Genomic DNA, 15,131 nt, shown 5'->3' on the forward strand with positions numbered 1-15,131 from the left:
TTTGGTACCTGGGTGGGGAGCTAAGAGATCTGTTGTCCAGTTCCAGTCCTTTCAGGAATTTCCTCTGTGTCCATGAGCTATCTAAGGTCCATGGGAAACAGTTGATCTTATGCAAACCAAAGGGCACGGACCAGATGCTTTCAAGGGTCTGTCTCAGTCAGCTCTTTGCTGAAGGACCTTATGCGTAGAGGAAAGTGCACACATCATTAAGTGGATAGCTTGAGGGAATAAATGTCACAAAGTGAACACACCTCTTCAATCAGCACCTTGATGAGTAGAAAATTACCAGCACCTCAGAGCCTTCCTCCCCTCATGCTCCAGAAGCAACCGGTATCCTGCCTTGTGATGCCTTTGTTTAGTTTGTCTTTATGAATAGAATCATACAGTGAATATTCTTTTGTGTCTAGCTTGTTTTGCTTATTATGTTTGTGAAATCTACAATATTATGTACAATATTTTTTGCATTCTCTTTGCTCTAATGCTATTCAATTGTATACCTATTTTACAGTTGCTGGACATTTAGATGGTCTCTTGTTTGGGTGTATTACTAATAGCGCTTCTATGAATGTGTTGTGCATATCTTTTGGTGATGATTCTATTTTGTTTGTTCAGGTACTAAAGTCATTTTAATTCGTGGCACTTTGGAATGATGTTGAACTTTAGGTAGCCAAGTGATTTGTCTGCTTCAATGTGATGTTCCAAGCTGCTTACTCAACAGGAACAGATGAAGATGTTTTTGTAGATTACTCTTGTGGGGTGTGGCCAGGTGGAAGCCCTCTCTGATATGTGAGTGATGTGGTGGGGCTTATTGTCCTGGCAGAGAAGGGTTTTGATTGCATGGTACAGGAAGGGACTATGTAGGGGAAGAGGAAATAGATCCAGAAAAGAGATGTGTCTGGATTCCTATAGAAACTGTCAGGATATCTTACCAATCAGATCAAGAACCTGGAAAAGTAAGAGCCCCAGGGAAGACTCAGCTTGTGAGACCCGATGTGTCTAGGGAGACGAATAGAGAAAGAAAAATAGAGGCAGGCCTGAGCTCAGAAGGAGCTCTCAAAGAATTTTCTGAACAAATTCATTAAGCCTAACTTGTTTTAAGGAAGCTTTGAAAAACCAGTCCCTAAAAGTATGAATCTTGAGCCCAGAATGAACTTAAAAGTATAGAACTAGGAAAAAATGTATTTTCCCAAACAAATATGGGATGTGAGCATGTGGGCTTTGCCTTAAGACCTTTCTGCATTCAGATCACAATTCCACCACTTTGTCTCGTGACCTTTCTGGATCAGCTTCCACATCTGTAAAATGGGGATGGTAAAATCTCCGCCTCTAAGATTCCCCCCAAATCTGCTGTAACAATTGACTACAATAGTGTTAGTATTATGCTTCAGGGCACATAGACCTAGCACTAAAAATGATAGTCATTTTATTTCTCATTCTTGTTACTAAGATTACCCATTTGTATCTGATACTTTATGAGCGTTTTCAGTTCACTTTTTAAAAATATGAGACTTCGGTTTTTAATTTAAGTGTAGTGAATACTAACAAAAAAGATTTTTCTACTTGCCTCACCTTAGACTGAAACTCAGAGGAAGGATGCAAGGAAACATTTGTCCATGTGTCCTTGACATGTCCCTCCCCAGGGTGAGTCAGTGAAGACACTCTTGGTTGTCTGAACTGGTTTACTTGTTCAAAAAGAGACCAGTGGAGCTGAGATTTGTGGGAAACTAGGGTCATTTTGCACAAAGGAAATTTGTACTTTTATACATTATACTCTTTTTTTTTTTTTCTTTTAAGAGACAGGGTCTCGGTTTGTTGCCCAGGCTGGAGTACAGTGATGTGATCCTTGCTCACTGGGCTCAAGTGATCCTCCCACGTCAGTCTCCTGAGTAACTGGGACTACAGGCGTGTGCCATCATGCCCGGCTAGTTTTTAAATTTTTTGTGGAGACAGAGTCTTGTTTTATTGCCAAGGCTGGTCTTGAACTTCTGGCTTCAAGTGATCTTCTCACCTTGGCCTCCCACAGTGCTGAGATTATAAGCGTGAGCCACTGCTCCCAGCTGTACCTTCAGTCTTAGGTGTTCTGGCAGGTGGCACGTATATGAAATTTCGTTTGCCTAAGAGTGTAAGCAACACCCTAGTCTCTCCTCTGTGCCAGTGGTCCTTGAGTTCATGGATGATAGTGGTGAATGCTGTCTGGTTGTACCACTTTTGAGGCTGAATGGGCCCAGGTACAAGAATGAGGTGGGAGCCACTTGTCCAGCTTCATCTCTGTCTTCTCTGCATTAGGCCAAGGAAGGCTGTGGGACTGTATGGTTAGCTATTCACTCAGGCTTGCCTGTATCATCACTCCACCCTGTAGTGTAGTGGTTTGTAAGTAGGCAATTTGTAGCCACTGAGATAATGTCATCCCCAAAGAAAAGCATCTACTGTGGATTTGTCCTTTGCGCCCTTTTCTCTGTACCCTTTTTGCAGTCTTTGAAATCACTTTCATTATTATGTGGGGATTGGGGTTTTCTATCTCCTGACTGTCTTTTGTGAACTAAATCTTATTTTATGCAATTTGTACTAAAAATTATAAAAATACTGCTTGGGGATGGCAGTCTTATTTGGGATTGTGTCACATGTTGTTTGTTTTGTGCTTAATTGGTTCGTGATAACTGGACAATATATAAATGATCTTGGTTTCATCATGTAACTCACAAAATGTTTTCTTTTCCATTTTTTTTTCTTTAGTGCTTTCTCCTTTTCCTACCAAATATCTAGGCTCACTTTTACCATCAGATAGAGATTTAGTTGGGCTTTTAGAACTCTCTCTTCAAGCAGATGCTTTGCGTGTGTGTGTGTACGTATGTGTGTGTGTGTGTATGGAGTTTGTGGGCTGTTAGAAGCTATTTGCTCATCTTGTCAAAGCCATAGCAGTCTTTTCATTCTCAGTTGCTTTGCTTTCTCCTCACCTCTTAGGAAATTGGCAGCCAATGACTTTGATTTTTTTTTTCCTTTATGAGACAGATATGCTAGTGTGTAACTGTAGACAGAGGAAGAGTTTGCACATTTAGCAAATGATCAAATAAGTGGCGTGTGTATGTGTGTGTGCATACATGCTGTCTCTATAACTGAGCAAGTGTTGTTTTTTTCTCTGAAGTCTCCATGCATTTATACATTTAATTAGGAGGCTCAAGTATCTCTGATGACTTTTAAATATATAGCCTCAACAGTTTTTTAAGAAGAGGGGAGAGGGTCCAAGGCATTTTTTACACCTATTTAGTGGATGTGTGGTTTAATGTTATGGTATTTTGGGGAAACCTGGGTTCTGACTCCGTCGTTTCAGTGAGCCATGGTTTCCCATTGCTTCAGGAGTAGAGAAATGGGGGAAGGCATTTCAATAGTTCTTAAATCTATTATTTAGCAGTAGCTCAAGGCTGTATGCATGGTAATCAAAGAAATGAGATTGGGTTCCCTGGGTGTGGTCTGCATTCCTTCTGTACTGTAGCGCTGTTCTAGTCTCCTGGTCAAATCACAGCCCAGAGCTGCTTCAGCCAAGAGGAGACTTAAATTAGGGATGTGCAATTTACAGCCATTGTAGCAGGATCCACTTAGTCCCTAGGCAGAAGATAACATGTGCGATCACTGTAGAAATTATAGCAGCTTTCCGATTGAAATAGCCCTGAGAGTTTCTTGTGACTATTACCTTGAGCTGAGGTGTAATCCCTTACCAGTGGTGTAATCCTAACTACAATACAACAGTTAATTGTCTTCTGTGTTCTTATTTGTGGTTCAGAACACAAATTGTTATTTTTCCATCAGCTTTTCTTGCTTGTTGTTTGTTTTTTACCTAATTCCTTTCCTGTTGTAGTAGTTGTTATATGCTTGGCTTGACATAGTTAGGCTATTTGGTACTGTGATATTAAGATATTTTTGAGGAAAAGGTCATCAGCTGTCTTTCTGGGCTATTCTGGGCATTTTGTACTCTATTTTGGATGTAACTTTTCTTGCTCTTGATTTCTGATTAGCTGTTCTTCCTCCTTGCTTTGGCCTCTCAACTTGCTTGGAAGCTTTTCAACAAATCTGCACTTGGATGACGGCTTTGTTCAACAAATAAACATTATCTCAACCTTGGGGAAGAGTTAAGAAGACACAGGATGGAACACTGTTAGATGCTTCTGGTTCTAAGCATGGAATTCCTGGAACAGGGAAGCTAGCTTCCAATACATTGAAGTCCGGAAGTTGTTTTCCTGCTCAAGGAGGTCACATTTCTACCAAGAGAAATGTGAATTCTAAGGCATTTTCAAAAGTTTTGGATGATTTGGTGAGATTTAAATTGTCTTATTTTTGATAAATTTTTAGAAATTAAAGAATGCATTATTTGCTTAGAAGAGTGGGATTTTTGGTTCTTCATGGTCTATATTGGTCCTTCCTGAGGTCGCACAGAGGCCTTTGAACAAGATTGGGCCTGCTGTGTGGTTGGGATAGTTGAAAGCCAAGTATCAAGCAGGAAATAAGAGTAGCAGACCTTAAAGTATTAGACTTCTCATAAGGGAAAACAGCAACACCCAAGAAAAATCCATTTACATTTACCCACAGTCCTTCTGGCCTGTGGACCTCTTTTCTCCTCTTGTTAGCCAGCAGAACAGCAATCTCTTCTTTGCAAGACTGTGAGTAATTCAAGGGGGACAGAAAAGGACAGAAAACACCAAGTACCTCTATCCAGAGGGTGACTTTTGTTTCCTCACTTTGTGGCCCCACTGAATTCACAGAAGGTAAAGCTGAAAGAACTCAGGGTATATGGCTGGTTTTTTGCACTCTTTACTTGATAAAATCAGTTGATTCTTCTTTTTTTGTGGTAGTTGTGCTCTGAAGTGATTGTGAACACTGAATGACCAAATACTTTTCCTAGGGGAAATGCAGAGGGAGGGTCCTGCGAGCCTTTGACCACAGTGTTTTTGCCAACTGATCAATACACAACCTTGTTTTATGTGTGTTTCTGTTTAGATACCACTTTCACATATGTTGTTGAATCATTAACACTGACACACACCCAACAGCTTTGTAACTCAGGCCTGAAGGAAGCTGACCTCACACACTGGTTTCGTCCTTGAGGCACGGCCTCATTACCTCAGGAACACCAGGCAGCGCTTCCACACTGTGCTTGGAGCCATTTTAAACAGCACAAGGGTTGATCGACAAGTACAAACGTGTGAAAAATGTGGCACAGAATAGACCATGAAAAGGACACTTTATGGCAGGAGGGCTGAACTGATGCAGGAAAGTGGAGCATCGTCTTGTTCAGCCTGCGCTGGGAACTCCGCCATGGTGACCGAGAATTCTCGCTCCTTTGCATGTGTCTGTGAATGAGTGTGAAGGTACTAATGTGGGGGTTGCAAGCAAATTTTAGCAGGTGGGCCAATTCACATGTGTCAACTGTATAATAGAAGCAAAATAATCCCAATTATTGTGGCCGGAAACTTTCCCAGTCCCACTGTGTGGTTCATGTAGAAAACCAATAATTTAAGGTAAAAATGAACTGTAAGCTGGTATAGCCAGACCAATGTTTTTAAATAGGCTCTTGTGAGATGAAGACAGGCAAGGAAAATGTGCCCAAGAAATTATCATTTGTTGTTGAACAAACGATAATTAGCCCTGCTGCCAGGCTTTGAACATTTAGAGAATGGGAACAACATCACGTATCCCCATGTCCTTGGCATGAAAGGTAGTAATGGCCAGCACCTAGGGGCACCTCAGCAAGTGAATGAATCCTAAATAAATGAATGAAAGAGCAGGGGGAATTCTTAGTGATGCCTGATGGCCCACTGTAGGGCATCTTAGGAATCTCATGCATCATTTTAGCCTAGATATATCATTTCCTGCCCACTGTGTTCCTTAAATTAACTTGCATAAATGTGTATCAATGAGCAGAAACAGTAGTGTCTGACTGTGAAAGGTAATCATGTGACACAGAGGTTATGTATCATGCTCATTTTCGTGCACAGCCCCTGGCACGTTAATGTTCATTAAATGAATTTGAATGAATGAATGAATTTAAACATCTAGAATATTTAGAAATGCAATGGCTTTAAAAAAATCTTTTTAAATTTAAAACAGAGGTGACTTTGTAAGTCACTTTGTACTATAAGTCTGTAGTCAGAGAAGTAGAAAGATGTGGATATTCTTTTGTTAACCAGCTTTGTCTATTGTATAAAACTGAGCTTTTCCACTCAGGAAACATCTACGCTGCGCTGTGTCTCCCTGCACCCCCCTCATATAAATATCCAGGGATGAGAGTTAATTAAAGTAGAAGCTAGTTAGGTTTTCTGAAAGGAAATGACATTCACTTTCAGATGTTATCCGTTTAAATTATTTCCTGCAGATTAACTGTTCATTTTACGAATTATTTATCATGGAGCTACTGTGTACAAGAAACTGGGCCAGGGGCTTTGGAGCATGCAAAGATAAGCAGAACATAGGGTCTTTTGTCTAGTGGGAGGGAAAGACATAAGTGCACATTTTTGTAAGTCTGGATAAAATGTACACTAACTACGGGTAAAAGTGAAGTGCTGTGGTGGCACAAGGCAGAGTGAGGTTAATTCCAACCTGCTCTGTTCTACGGAGGAGCTTCAATATAACCTGGGTCTTGAATGCCCATTTGGGAGTGGGTGGGCAGCAGGGTAGACTGGAGAAGTAGCACATTAGGCCAGTTCCAAGAAGAGGTAGCAAAAGCATTGGAGCACGAAGGTACAAGGAACAAGTAACATAAAGGTTCTGGAGTGTGAGGGGCAGTGGGGGAGTATTGTGAAATAAGACTAGAAAATTGCCTCAGGATCCGATTATAGAGAGATTCAATGGTAGTTTGCTTGGACTTTATTCTGTAGTCATTAGGAACAATAGCAGATTTTAAAATAGAGGAATTGTGTGTCAGCAACTAGCAGCAGCTAAAATTTGTAAGCACTTGTTATGTGCCAGGTACGAATTCTTACCACAGCCCTTTGAGGCTAATACTGTTAGTGTTGCAGTTTGTAGATGAGGAAACAGCACAGAGAAGTTAAGTAACTTCCCCAGGATCCACAGCAAATAAGTGGTGGACTGGGAATTGAAGCCAGGAAGTCAAACTTAAGAACCTGGGTTTTTAACCTGGGATGGAAGAATAGGATTCGGAGAGTCTTTGAACTTTTTAAATTATTTGCCAAGTGGTCAGTATATATGAATATGTGCATTAGTTTAAGAGAGGATCTATGGCTTTAATCATGTAAGAGATGCATGCTTAAAAATGTTAATAAAGACTATATAGGGCAGGCATGGCAGCTCAGGCTTGTAATCCCAGCCCTTGGGAGGCCAAGGTGGGCAGATCACTTGAGGCCAGGAATTCACAACCAATCTGGCCAACATGGTGAAACCCTGTCTCTGCTAAAAATATTAGAGTTAGCCTGTGTGGTTGTGTACGCCTATAGTCCCAGCTACTTGGGACACTGAGGCATGAGAATCACTTGAACCCAGGAGGCAGAGGTTGCAGTGAGCAGAGATCATGCCACTGCACCCCAGCCTGGGCGAAAAAGTGAGACTCTGTCTCAAGAAAAAAAAAAGCCTATAAGAGCACCCTCTTTCACCCTCAGAAGTCCCCCAGAATGCACAATGCATTATATAGTGACTATGCCTGTTCTTCTTGTTAGGTAGGAAGAAGCAGAACAATCTGTCATGGCTCAAAATAAAAGAAAATGTCCAATTTGAAGAAATTCTTAGTATTGTAAGTGTCAGGCTGTTCTTGATTTGTGAGAAACAAAAAATTTAAAAGATGGTATTTTGAAGGTAGAAATCAGATATTCAGGCTTTGAAACTTGCAAAAATTTCAAACGGCAGAGGACCTATCTCCGCATTCGGCAAAAATTATTCTTTTTAATCTCAACAAAAGCTAGATAAACTCCTGAAATCTTACGTGTTCTGTAAAAATACCTAGATGCTAGTCTGCTTTCAACTGAACCAATTTGCCTTTTTACAGTTAGGACTTGAAGGATGAATATTTACCAATCTATGAGACTGAAAATTCTTTGCAGCCAGCTGTGAACCCAAAGGCAGGTGCGAGAATGAATGAAGGAGTCCAGATTAAAGAATTGTCCAGTTTACATCACTTGAGAAGTCAAATTAATATCTAAGTTTTATTTAGAGTAAATGTTTTAATGTTTTAAATATATATAATCTCATAAGATATTACTGTTGGCCAGGCGCAGTGGCTCACGTCTGTAATCCCAGCACTTTGGGAGGCCGAGGCGGGCGGATCACGGAGGTCAGGAGATCGAGACCATCCTGGCTAACATGGTGAAACCCCGTCTCTACTAAAAATACAAAAAAATTAGCTGGGCGTGGTGGCGGGCGCCTGTAGTCCCAGCTACTCGGGAGGCTGAGGCAGGAGAATGGCTTGAACCCGGGAGGCGGAGCTTGCAGTGAGCCAAGATCGCACCACTGCACCCCAGCCTCGGGGACAGAGCAAGACTCCATCTCAAAAAAAAAAAAAAAAAAAAAGATATTACTGTCATACAAGTGTAACAGATTTAATACTTTAATAGAGATCTATACTACTTATTTACTAGAGCTTTTCTTTATATTTTCCCCATCTTTGTTTTCTCTCTGTCTTTTTTTTCCTGGACTACTTGAAAGTAAGTTGCAGATATCATGACACTTCTACCCTTAAATATTTCAGCCTAAATTTCCTAAGAACCTAGTCCACATTCAAAACCAAAATATCCTTTACTATAGTTTTTGTTTTGCTTTTGGTTTTGATCAAAGATTCCATCAAAAATCACAAATAGCAATTGGTTGTCATGTTTCTTTCATCTCTTTTATGAACTCTCTTGTCTCCCTGTCTTTTTTGTGTTTCCTTATTTTGTGTTTCATGATGTTAACATGTTTTAAAAGTCAAAGACAGTTGTGTGGTAAAATATCGTATAGTCTAGATTCATCTAACTGTTGGTGTCCTCATAATTAGATTCAAATTAAACATTGCTAGCAAGTGTACATTGCTTCTCTTCAGAAGGTGCATGATATTAGCTAGGCTGAGTTTAATCACTTGGCTAAGTTGGTGTTGACCAGACCTTTCCATTGTAAAGGTGCCTAATCCTCTTGATAACTAAGAATGCACCTGTGGGGTAATCTTAGAGAGCATGTGCATGTTTTTTTCCCTGACAGTGATTCACCCAATGGTTTTAGCATCTATTTTATGATTCATCTATTATGAATCAATTATTAAGTTGCTGGTTGCAATATGGTACTAACTTGATCTCTAAAGTCATTTTACTGAAGAAAAATTCTCCTTTCCATCCCATGTCCTGCTTGGGGAAAATCTTGGCCCAAAAGACGCATGACAGAAGGATCGATGAAAGTGAAACTTGAAAACAACTATCCAAACACACATTAACTATGAAGATGTTTGAAGGGTTTTCTTTTCCTTTCTGAGTGGGTATGCAGGAAACCTGTACCCTAGGGTGAGAGCTCTTTATTTTAAAGATTTGTACTTAAAATAATCTTTATTGCTGCAGGTGAGGAAAAACTAAATAAATTGCTATTTATTTTCTTTTGGACTGAGAGAATTCAGTAGCAATGAGATGAATTTTCTTTCAGTGCCACAATCTGAAAAGCTGTGATGTTTACCATACCATTTGAAAATGTCTTAGAAGTAGTTCCTTATAAAGCATATTATATTGAAATCAAATGGGCATTAAAGCCATGGAATTCCTTTGAAAGGTGGAATAAAGCGGAAATTGTTTTGTCTTGGTACTTCTTGATCTAGACTAATAATCCTTTGGGGGAATTTATCCTGAGGCTTTTTACCAATTGTGCTCATGACTGGCTCCCTCAGTGAATGTTATCTGATGAAGGTCTTATTTCACTTCTGAAAGCACAGCGTTGTTCTATTTGTTTGAGGTATTAGTAGGTAGCAGGAAAAGATCGACTCCAGGTAATGCAATATAAAACCCACCCGTCCATCTTGAAATTGGAGGTTGTCCTGCATGCTATATAAGTTCTCCCACTTGCAATATATAATGAGGAGACATATTTTTGAAGCAATTAACTGTTCCTTCAAAATTGTTCTTTATTGTTGGTGTAAGGACTTTAGCACTCTCTAGGAAATCGTCTATAACTTGCTTCATTTTTCTTTTGTTTTGTAAGAGGATTTTAGACTCTATTCTTGTGGCCAGTTAGACTTGGATCCGTGCATCCTCTTGAGCCGTGAATTTTCTGGTCTCAAAGTCCCAGGCTCAAGCGATCCTTGCGCCTCGGCCTTCCAAAGTGCTGAGGTTATAGGCATGAGCCACGGCACCTGGCCCATAATGTATTTGACACTATAATTAAGAGATACTGAGATATTTCCTATTTTAAAATACTTCGTCCTGCTTTCTAATATATAGCATGACACCCAACCTCAGAGGGTATGGAAAGCTTACTTTACTGTAAAGACTTGCAAAGCACACTGCTTATATTTTAGGGACAGGTTCATACCTGCCAAGCAGGTTTATGAAACACTGATGAATAAACACAAGTATGTCAGAAATCTTACTAAAGAACAGTGCATCTTATTCAGTGTAGACAGTCTTCTAAAGTATTTTGGTTGAGTTCGTCCTAGAGCTTAATTGCGAGAGTAAGAATTAAAATAATAAAACTGGTTGCAAGTCTTTTGAGAGTAAGATATGTCATCTTTCTTTCAGGCCTATCATAGTGTCTAGTCTAAAGCAACAGTAAGGCTCCTTGCATATTTGTTGAATTAAATTTTCAATTTAGTTTCTGAATTCCTTGGTCCTAATAGATTTCTCAGTTGATAGGTTGCCATCTCACTTGACGTCTACTTGATGGCTATGTTCTCTTCTTGTCTGCCTCCCTTTTCACTCCTGTTCTTGACCCTACTGACCAGTCTTTTTTGACTTAAAGAATAGCAACTCTTTAAGCTGTTGTATTTCACTTTTTTAAAATTATATAGACAGGATACATTAAAAACATTTAAAGAATTACATAGAGTCAGAGAGATAGATTACTTTCTACTAAATGCTGTGTTAGGATTTTGTTTTTTTTGTTTTTTTTGAGATGGAGTCTCGCCCCATTGCCCGGGCTGGAGTGCAGTGGTGCCATCTCTTCTCACTGCACCCTCTGCCTCCTGGGTCCAAATGATCCTCCGGCCTCAGCCTCCCGAGTAGCTGGGATTACAGGCCCCTGCCACCATACCTGGCTAATTTTTGTATTTTTAGTACAGACAGGGTTTTACCATGTTGCCCAGGCTGGTCTCAAACTCCTGACCTCAAGTGATCTACCCACCTCGGCCTCCCAAAGTGCTGAGATTACAGGCGTGAGCCACTGCGCGCAGCCCACTGTGTTAGGATTTGCAATATAAAGGAACTAAGACCTGGTGGTTGCCTTTAGATCTCACAGTCTACAGGTAAAATGGATCTATAAAGAGGGCTGAAAAGTACAAATCATGGCAAGAAGGTGGCAGAGCAGGGACTAGGGGACAGCTAAAGGAGGGTCATGATCCCTTTGCCTGAGGGATCAATATTGCCCAGTAGTAACCCTAGAGCAGGTTCTTTAAGGATGAGTTTCCCAGGCAGTCAGGAAATGGGGAGGGAAATCCCTATGGTTTTGTGTATTGGCCCCAGTGAGAAGCAAGTGTGTCCCCTTCGGGAACTTGATGAGTATAGATTTTAAAAAATATCTGGGAGAAGAGAAAGGCAAGGCATGGCAGATGTTACTAGATGTGGTAGACATGCCAAGTTTGGGTAGGAGGTATATGGGTTAGATCTAGAGGGAAGCAGTTAGAAGTTGGGGAACAGGAAGCCTTTTACAACCAACCTCCCCTTGCTGAATGGATTATTACTTCATTAGAACTCAATGTTTACCCACTACAGAATATTATCACTCATAGTCTTTATAGTCATATATTTGCCTGATTTTATCTCTTAAATAAGGCAATTGAGCCTAAAGATCAAGACTTTTTTTTTTTTGACAAGCTAGAAAGGTATCTGACACTCCTATTTGCTAAATATTTGTAGAAGGAAGAAAGAAGAGAGGAAGGAGAGGGATAAGGGAATTGAAATTGAGGAAAGGAAGGAATTTGAAACTGAAGAGTCATATGCTTTGCCACATAAACTCTGAAGGTCACACAGGATGGTAGTGCCAGCAGAAGAAGGAGGACGTTGAGTGAACCTGTGATTGAATGAGGAGGATGGTAGAGATGCTGGGAAGGTGAGAGTCAGGACAAGAAGGCTGAGGGCACCTTCCTCAAAGAAGTTGACATTCAGTGGAACGTTCAATGACAATTGCAAAGGAGTTTCAGAGGGCAGAATGGAATGGATTGGGAGAGGACTTGGTTAAGATTTACTGAAAACCCTGAACTTTTGGTAAATACTGCTCTGTGTGGGAAATGTTTCAATGAGAATTGACTCTTAATTAACTCTCACTCTTGGATATCCCTTGAACAAGTTGTCTGGAGAGTTCCTCAGGAGAATGTCTACTTGCAACAACAGTAATAATATTTATCAAGTGCTTGTGTTACCTCATAAACTCTCACACTAACCCTGTGAGGTATGTATTATTATCTTCCACTTCTTTTGAATGAAGACAGCTAGACTTAGAGTGGTTAAGAAGTGTTCACAGTCGTCACATTGCTCCTAAGTGGGCCACTACTACAGCCAAGGCAACACATGCTAGAACCTGTCAGGTACCTGGGGAATATCAGAACTGCTGTCTGATCTCTGAAATTGAAATTAATTTCCTCAGTGACTCAATACCTACTGCCACTCACTCAAGCCCTGCAAGTTCAAGCCAAATCATCCTGCCACCGCAGGAATGTGATGGGTCACGCTGCTACCTACTGAAAATGGGGATTTGGGTTAACTAGAGTAAAATACAGTAAGAATGGGTGAGAGGAGAGAAAAAGAATACTTCAGTTTAGGAAGCATAATACTACTTAAAATTTCCTGAGAAAGAATTTCTTCCCTTGGAAGTGCATCTTCCCAGGAGGTTGTGTCCTCACAGGGGGTGTCCTCACACGGGAAATAGCCCGCAGAGAGGCTCAGGTTGGAATTGGATTTGGAGCTGTCGTCCTTTCTGTCACTGTTAGAGGATGAATATGCAATGGAGTTCAAAGGCACAAATCTGTCAACTTGAGAAGCTTCAAAAAAGAACAGCACATATGCTTTCAATGTGAGTCAAGATGGTGTGCTGGAAGAGGAAGACATGGGTAACAAGAACGTTTATTTTGTTTATTGAGGAAAAAATAAACTATTGGGGATTATCAGTGGAATCCTATCTTATGGATTATTTTCAACTTTCCAAAAAGTTGAAAAATCTGTCTATATAGGATGTCCTAATTCAAGGGTTTCTTGAGGTTGAATTCTCTTGCCTCTGTGAAAGAATCGTTTCCTTGGTGCTGGCTGACGGGGACTCTTGGTGGCTTTCACAGGATGATACCTCCTCAGCAGAGGGGAGAGGATATGCTGCCTCAGCCAGCTGAAGGCCCACCCAAAGTTCAGGCAGCACTGGGCCTGTGTGTGGGAAGGAGTGTCATCCTTCTCCGGCTGCTCTGACAGGATTGAGATCTCTGGAGCACTTGTCCTTTGGCTGGCAGTTGCCTGGCTTATCATCTGCCAAGAAAATAAAGAATATGTTAGGTAGGCGTAACCATGACAGCAGCCAAGTCAACATTTACTCATTTATGGAACTCACATCCTTTTAGCAAAAATAGCCCAAGTAGGCTGGGTGCGATGGCTCACACCTGTAGTATCAGCACTTTGGGAGGCCGAGGCATGTGGATCACTTGAGGTCAGGAGGTCGAGACAAGCCTGGCCAACATGGTGAAACACTGTCTCTACTAAAAATACAAAAGTTAGGGTAGCAGACGCCTATAATCCCAGCTACTCAGGAGGTTGAGGCAGGAGAATCACTTGAGCACGGGAAGTAGAGGTTGCAGTGAGCCGAGATCACACCACTGCACTCCAGCCTGGGCAACGGAGAAAGAATGTCTCAAAAAAAAAAAAAAAAAAAAAGCCCAAGTGTCAATGCAAAGCTTCAATGTAGATACAGTTTTTAGTCCTTCTCCTTGCTTGCTACCCTCTTGTTTACCTCAGCATTCCTCAGTCTTTTCCCTAAAACTCCACCCTGACTCCTTTCTTCGTTGTCTGTCTCCCACTGGTATCACTTCGGGCCCCTTGGGACCTGCTTCCTAGTGGTCGTAAGATTCTGTGGTTCAACCCAGGCCTATCCCTTCCTATCCTATGAGGCATCTCTGTGCTCACCTCAGCCAGCTCATGTTCCTTAAGCCTTAGAGGAGTCTGTGGAGACTACATAACATCTTTATTTTCTGGTGGCTTGCACTTGGGCAGGTCTTGACAAGCATCATGTTCTTGATGACTGACCTGAACCATTTCTGGAGGGGAGCTGCCGTACAGCTGGAAATCTGAGTAGTTTCAGGAAACACAGCATCATCATCTTCATTGTCTTTCAGATTTTCTAGAAATGTCTGAAACTCTTGCACAAGATTATTCAGTTTGCTGACAGATAGTTTTGTCCTCTCTTTTGGGAACTTGTTTATCCACAGGTTGGCTCCATTTAGAAGCCTATTAGCTATTGAGTCTGTGTTGTCAGAGCCAACGTCCATGTCCCAGGCCAGGAAGATGTTCAGTTTGCAAAACTGTCTGGTTCGTCCTGAATTTGGTATTGTCTCTTCATGTGTTTCCTTATCCTTTCAGTCCCCCATGCCCCTTGGATGGGAGGGAGAAAGTGGATGGAAGGACCCTTGGAAGGTGCGTCTTCCCAGGAGGTTGTGTCCTCACAGGGGGTGTCCTCACAGGGGAAATAGCCCACAGAGAGGATCAGGTTGGAATTGGATTTGGAGCTGTCGTCCTCTATGTCGCTGTTAGAGGATGAATATGCCATGGAGTTCAAAGGCACAAATCTCTCTCAACTTGAGAAGCTTCAAAAAAAGAAAAGAAGAAAAAAGAAAAAGTAGGTGGGACCGGGGAGAAGAGAATCATGGTACTTAAGCAAAAACATTATCCATCCCCTTTTCTATTTTTTTTTTTTTTTTTTTTTGAGATGGAGTCTCACTCTGTCATCCAGGCTGGAGTGCAGTGGTGTGATCTCGGCTCACTGCAACCTCCACC

General features: G+C 41.2%; 1 protein-coding gene and 1 pseudogene across 49 annotated transcripts in view, besides 1 other annotated feature; one reads left to right on the plus strand and one right to left on the minus strand.

Moving 5' to 3' along the window:
- PPFIBP1 (PPFIB scaffold protein 1) overlaps positions 1 to 15,131 on the plus strand; it is a 171,359-nt gene that overhangs the window by 54,930 nt on the left and 101,298 nt on the right. The window contains exon 1 of one of the 49 annotated variants that reach the window (XM_017020057.3): positions 258 to 330. The exons of the other annotated variants lie outside the window; for them this stretch is intronic. The gene's annotated coding sequence lies outside the window, so the exon portion shown is untranslated. Of the gene's footprint in view, positions 1 to 257; positions 331 to 15,131 lie in introns of those variants that run through there. 49 annotated transcript variants of the gene reach the window in all.
- On the minus strand, positions 13,208 to 14,983 carry C12orf71BP (chromosome 12 open reading frame 71B, pseudogene; annotated as a pseudogene).
- Positions 13,693 to 13,752: a silencer, noted in NCBI's record as "silent region_4312". NCBI's record gives its function as "represses an Ori minimal core promoter by ATAC-STARR-seq in GM12878 lymphoblastoid cells {active_cell/tissue: GM12878}" and the evidence as "EXISTENCE:reporter gene assay evidence [ECO:0000049][PMID:35858748]".

Source organism: Homo sapiens, chromosome 12, assembly GCF_000001405.40.
Source record: "Homo sapiens chromosome 12, GRCh38.p14 Primary Assembly".
Lineage (NCBI taxonomy): Eukaryota > Metazoa > Chordata > Mammalia > Primates > Hominidae > Homo > Homo sapiens.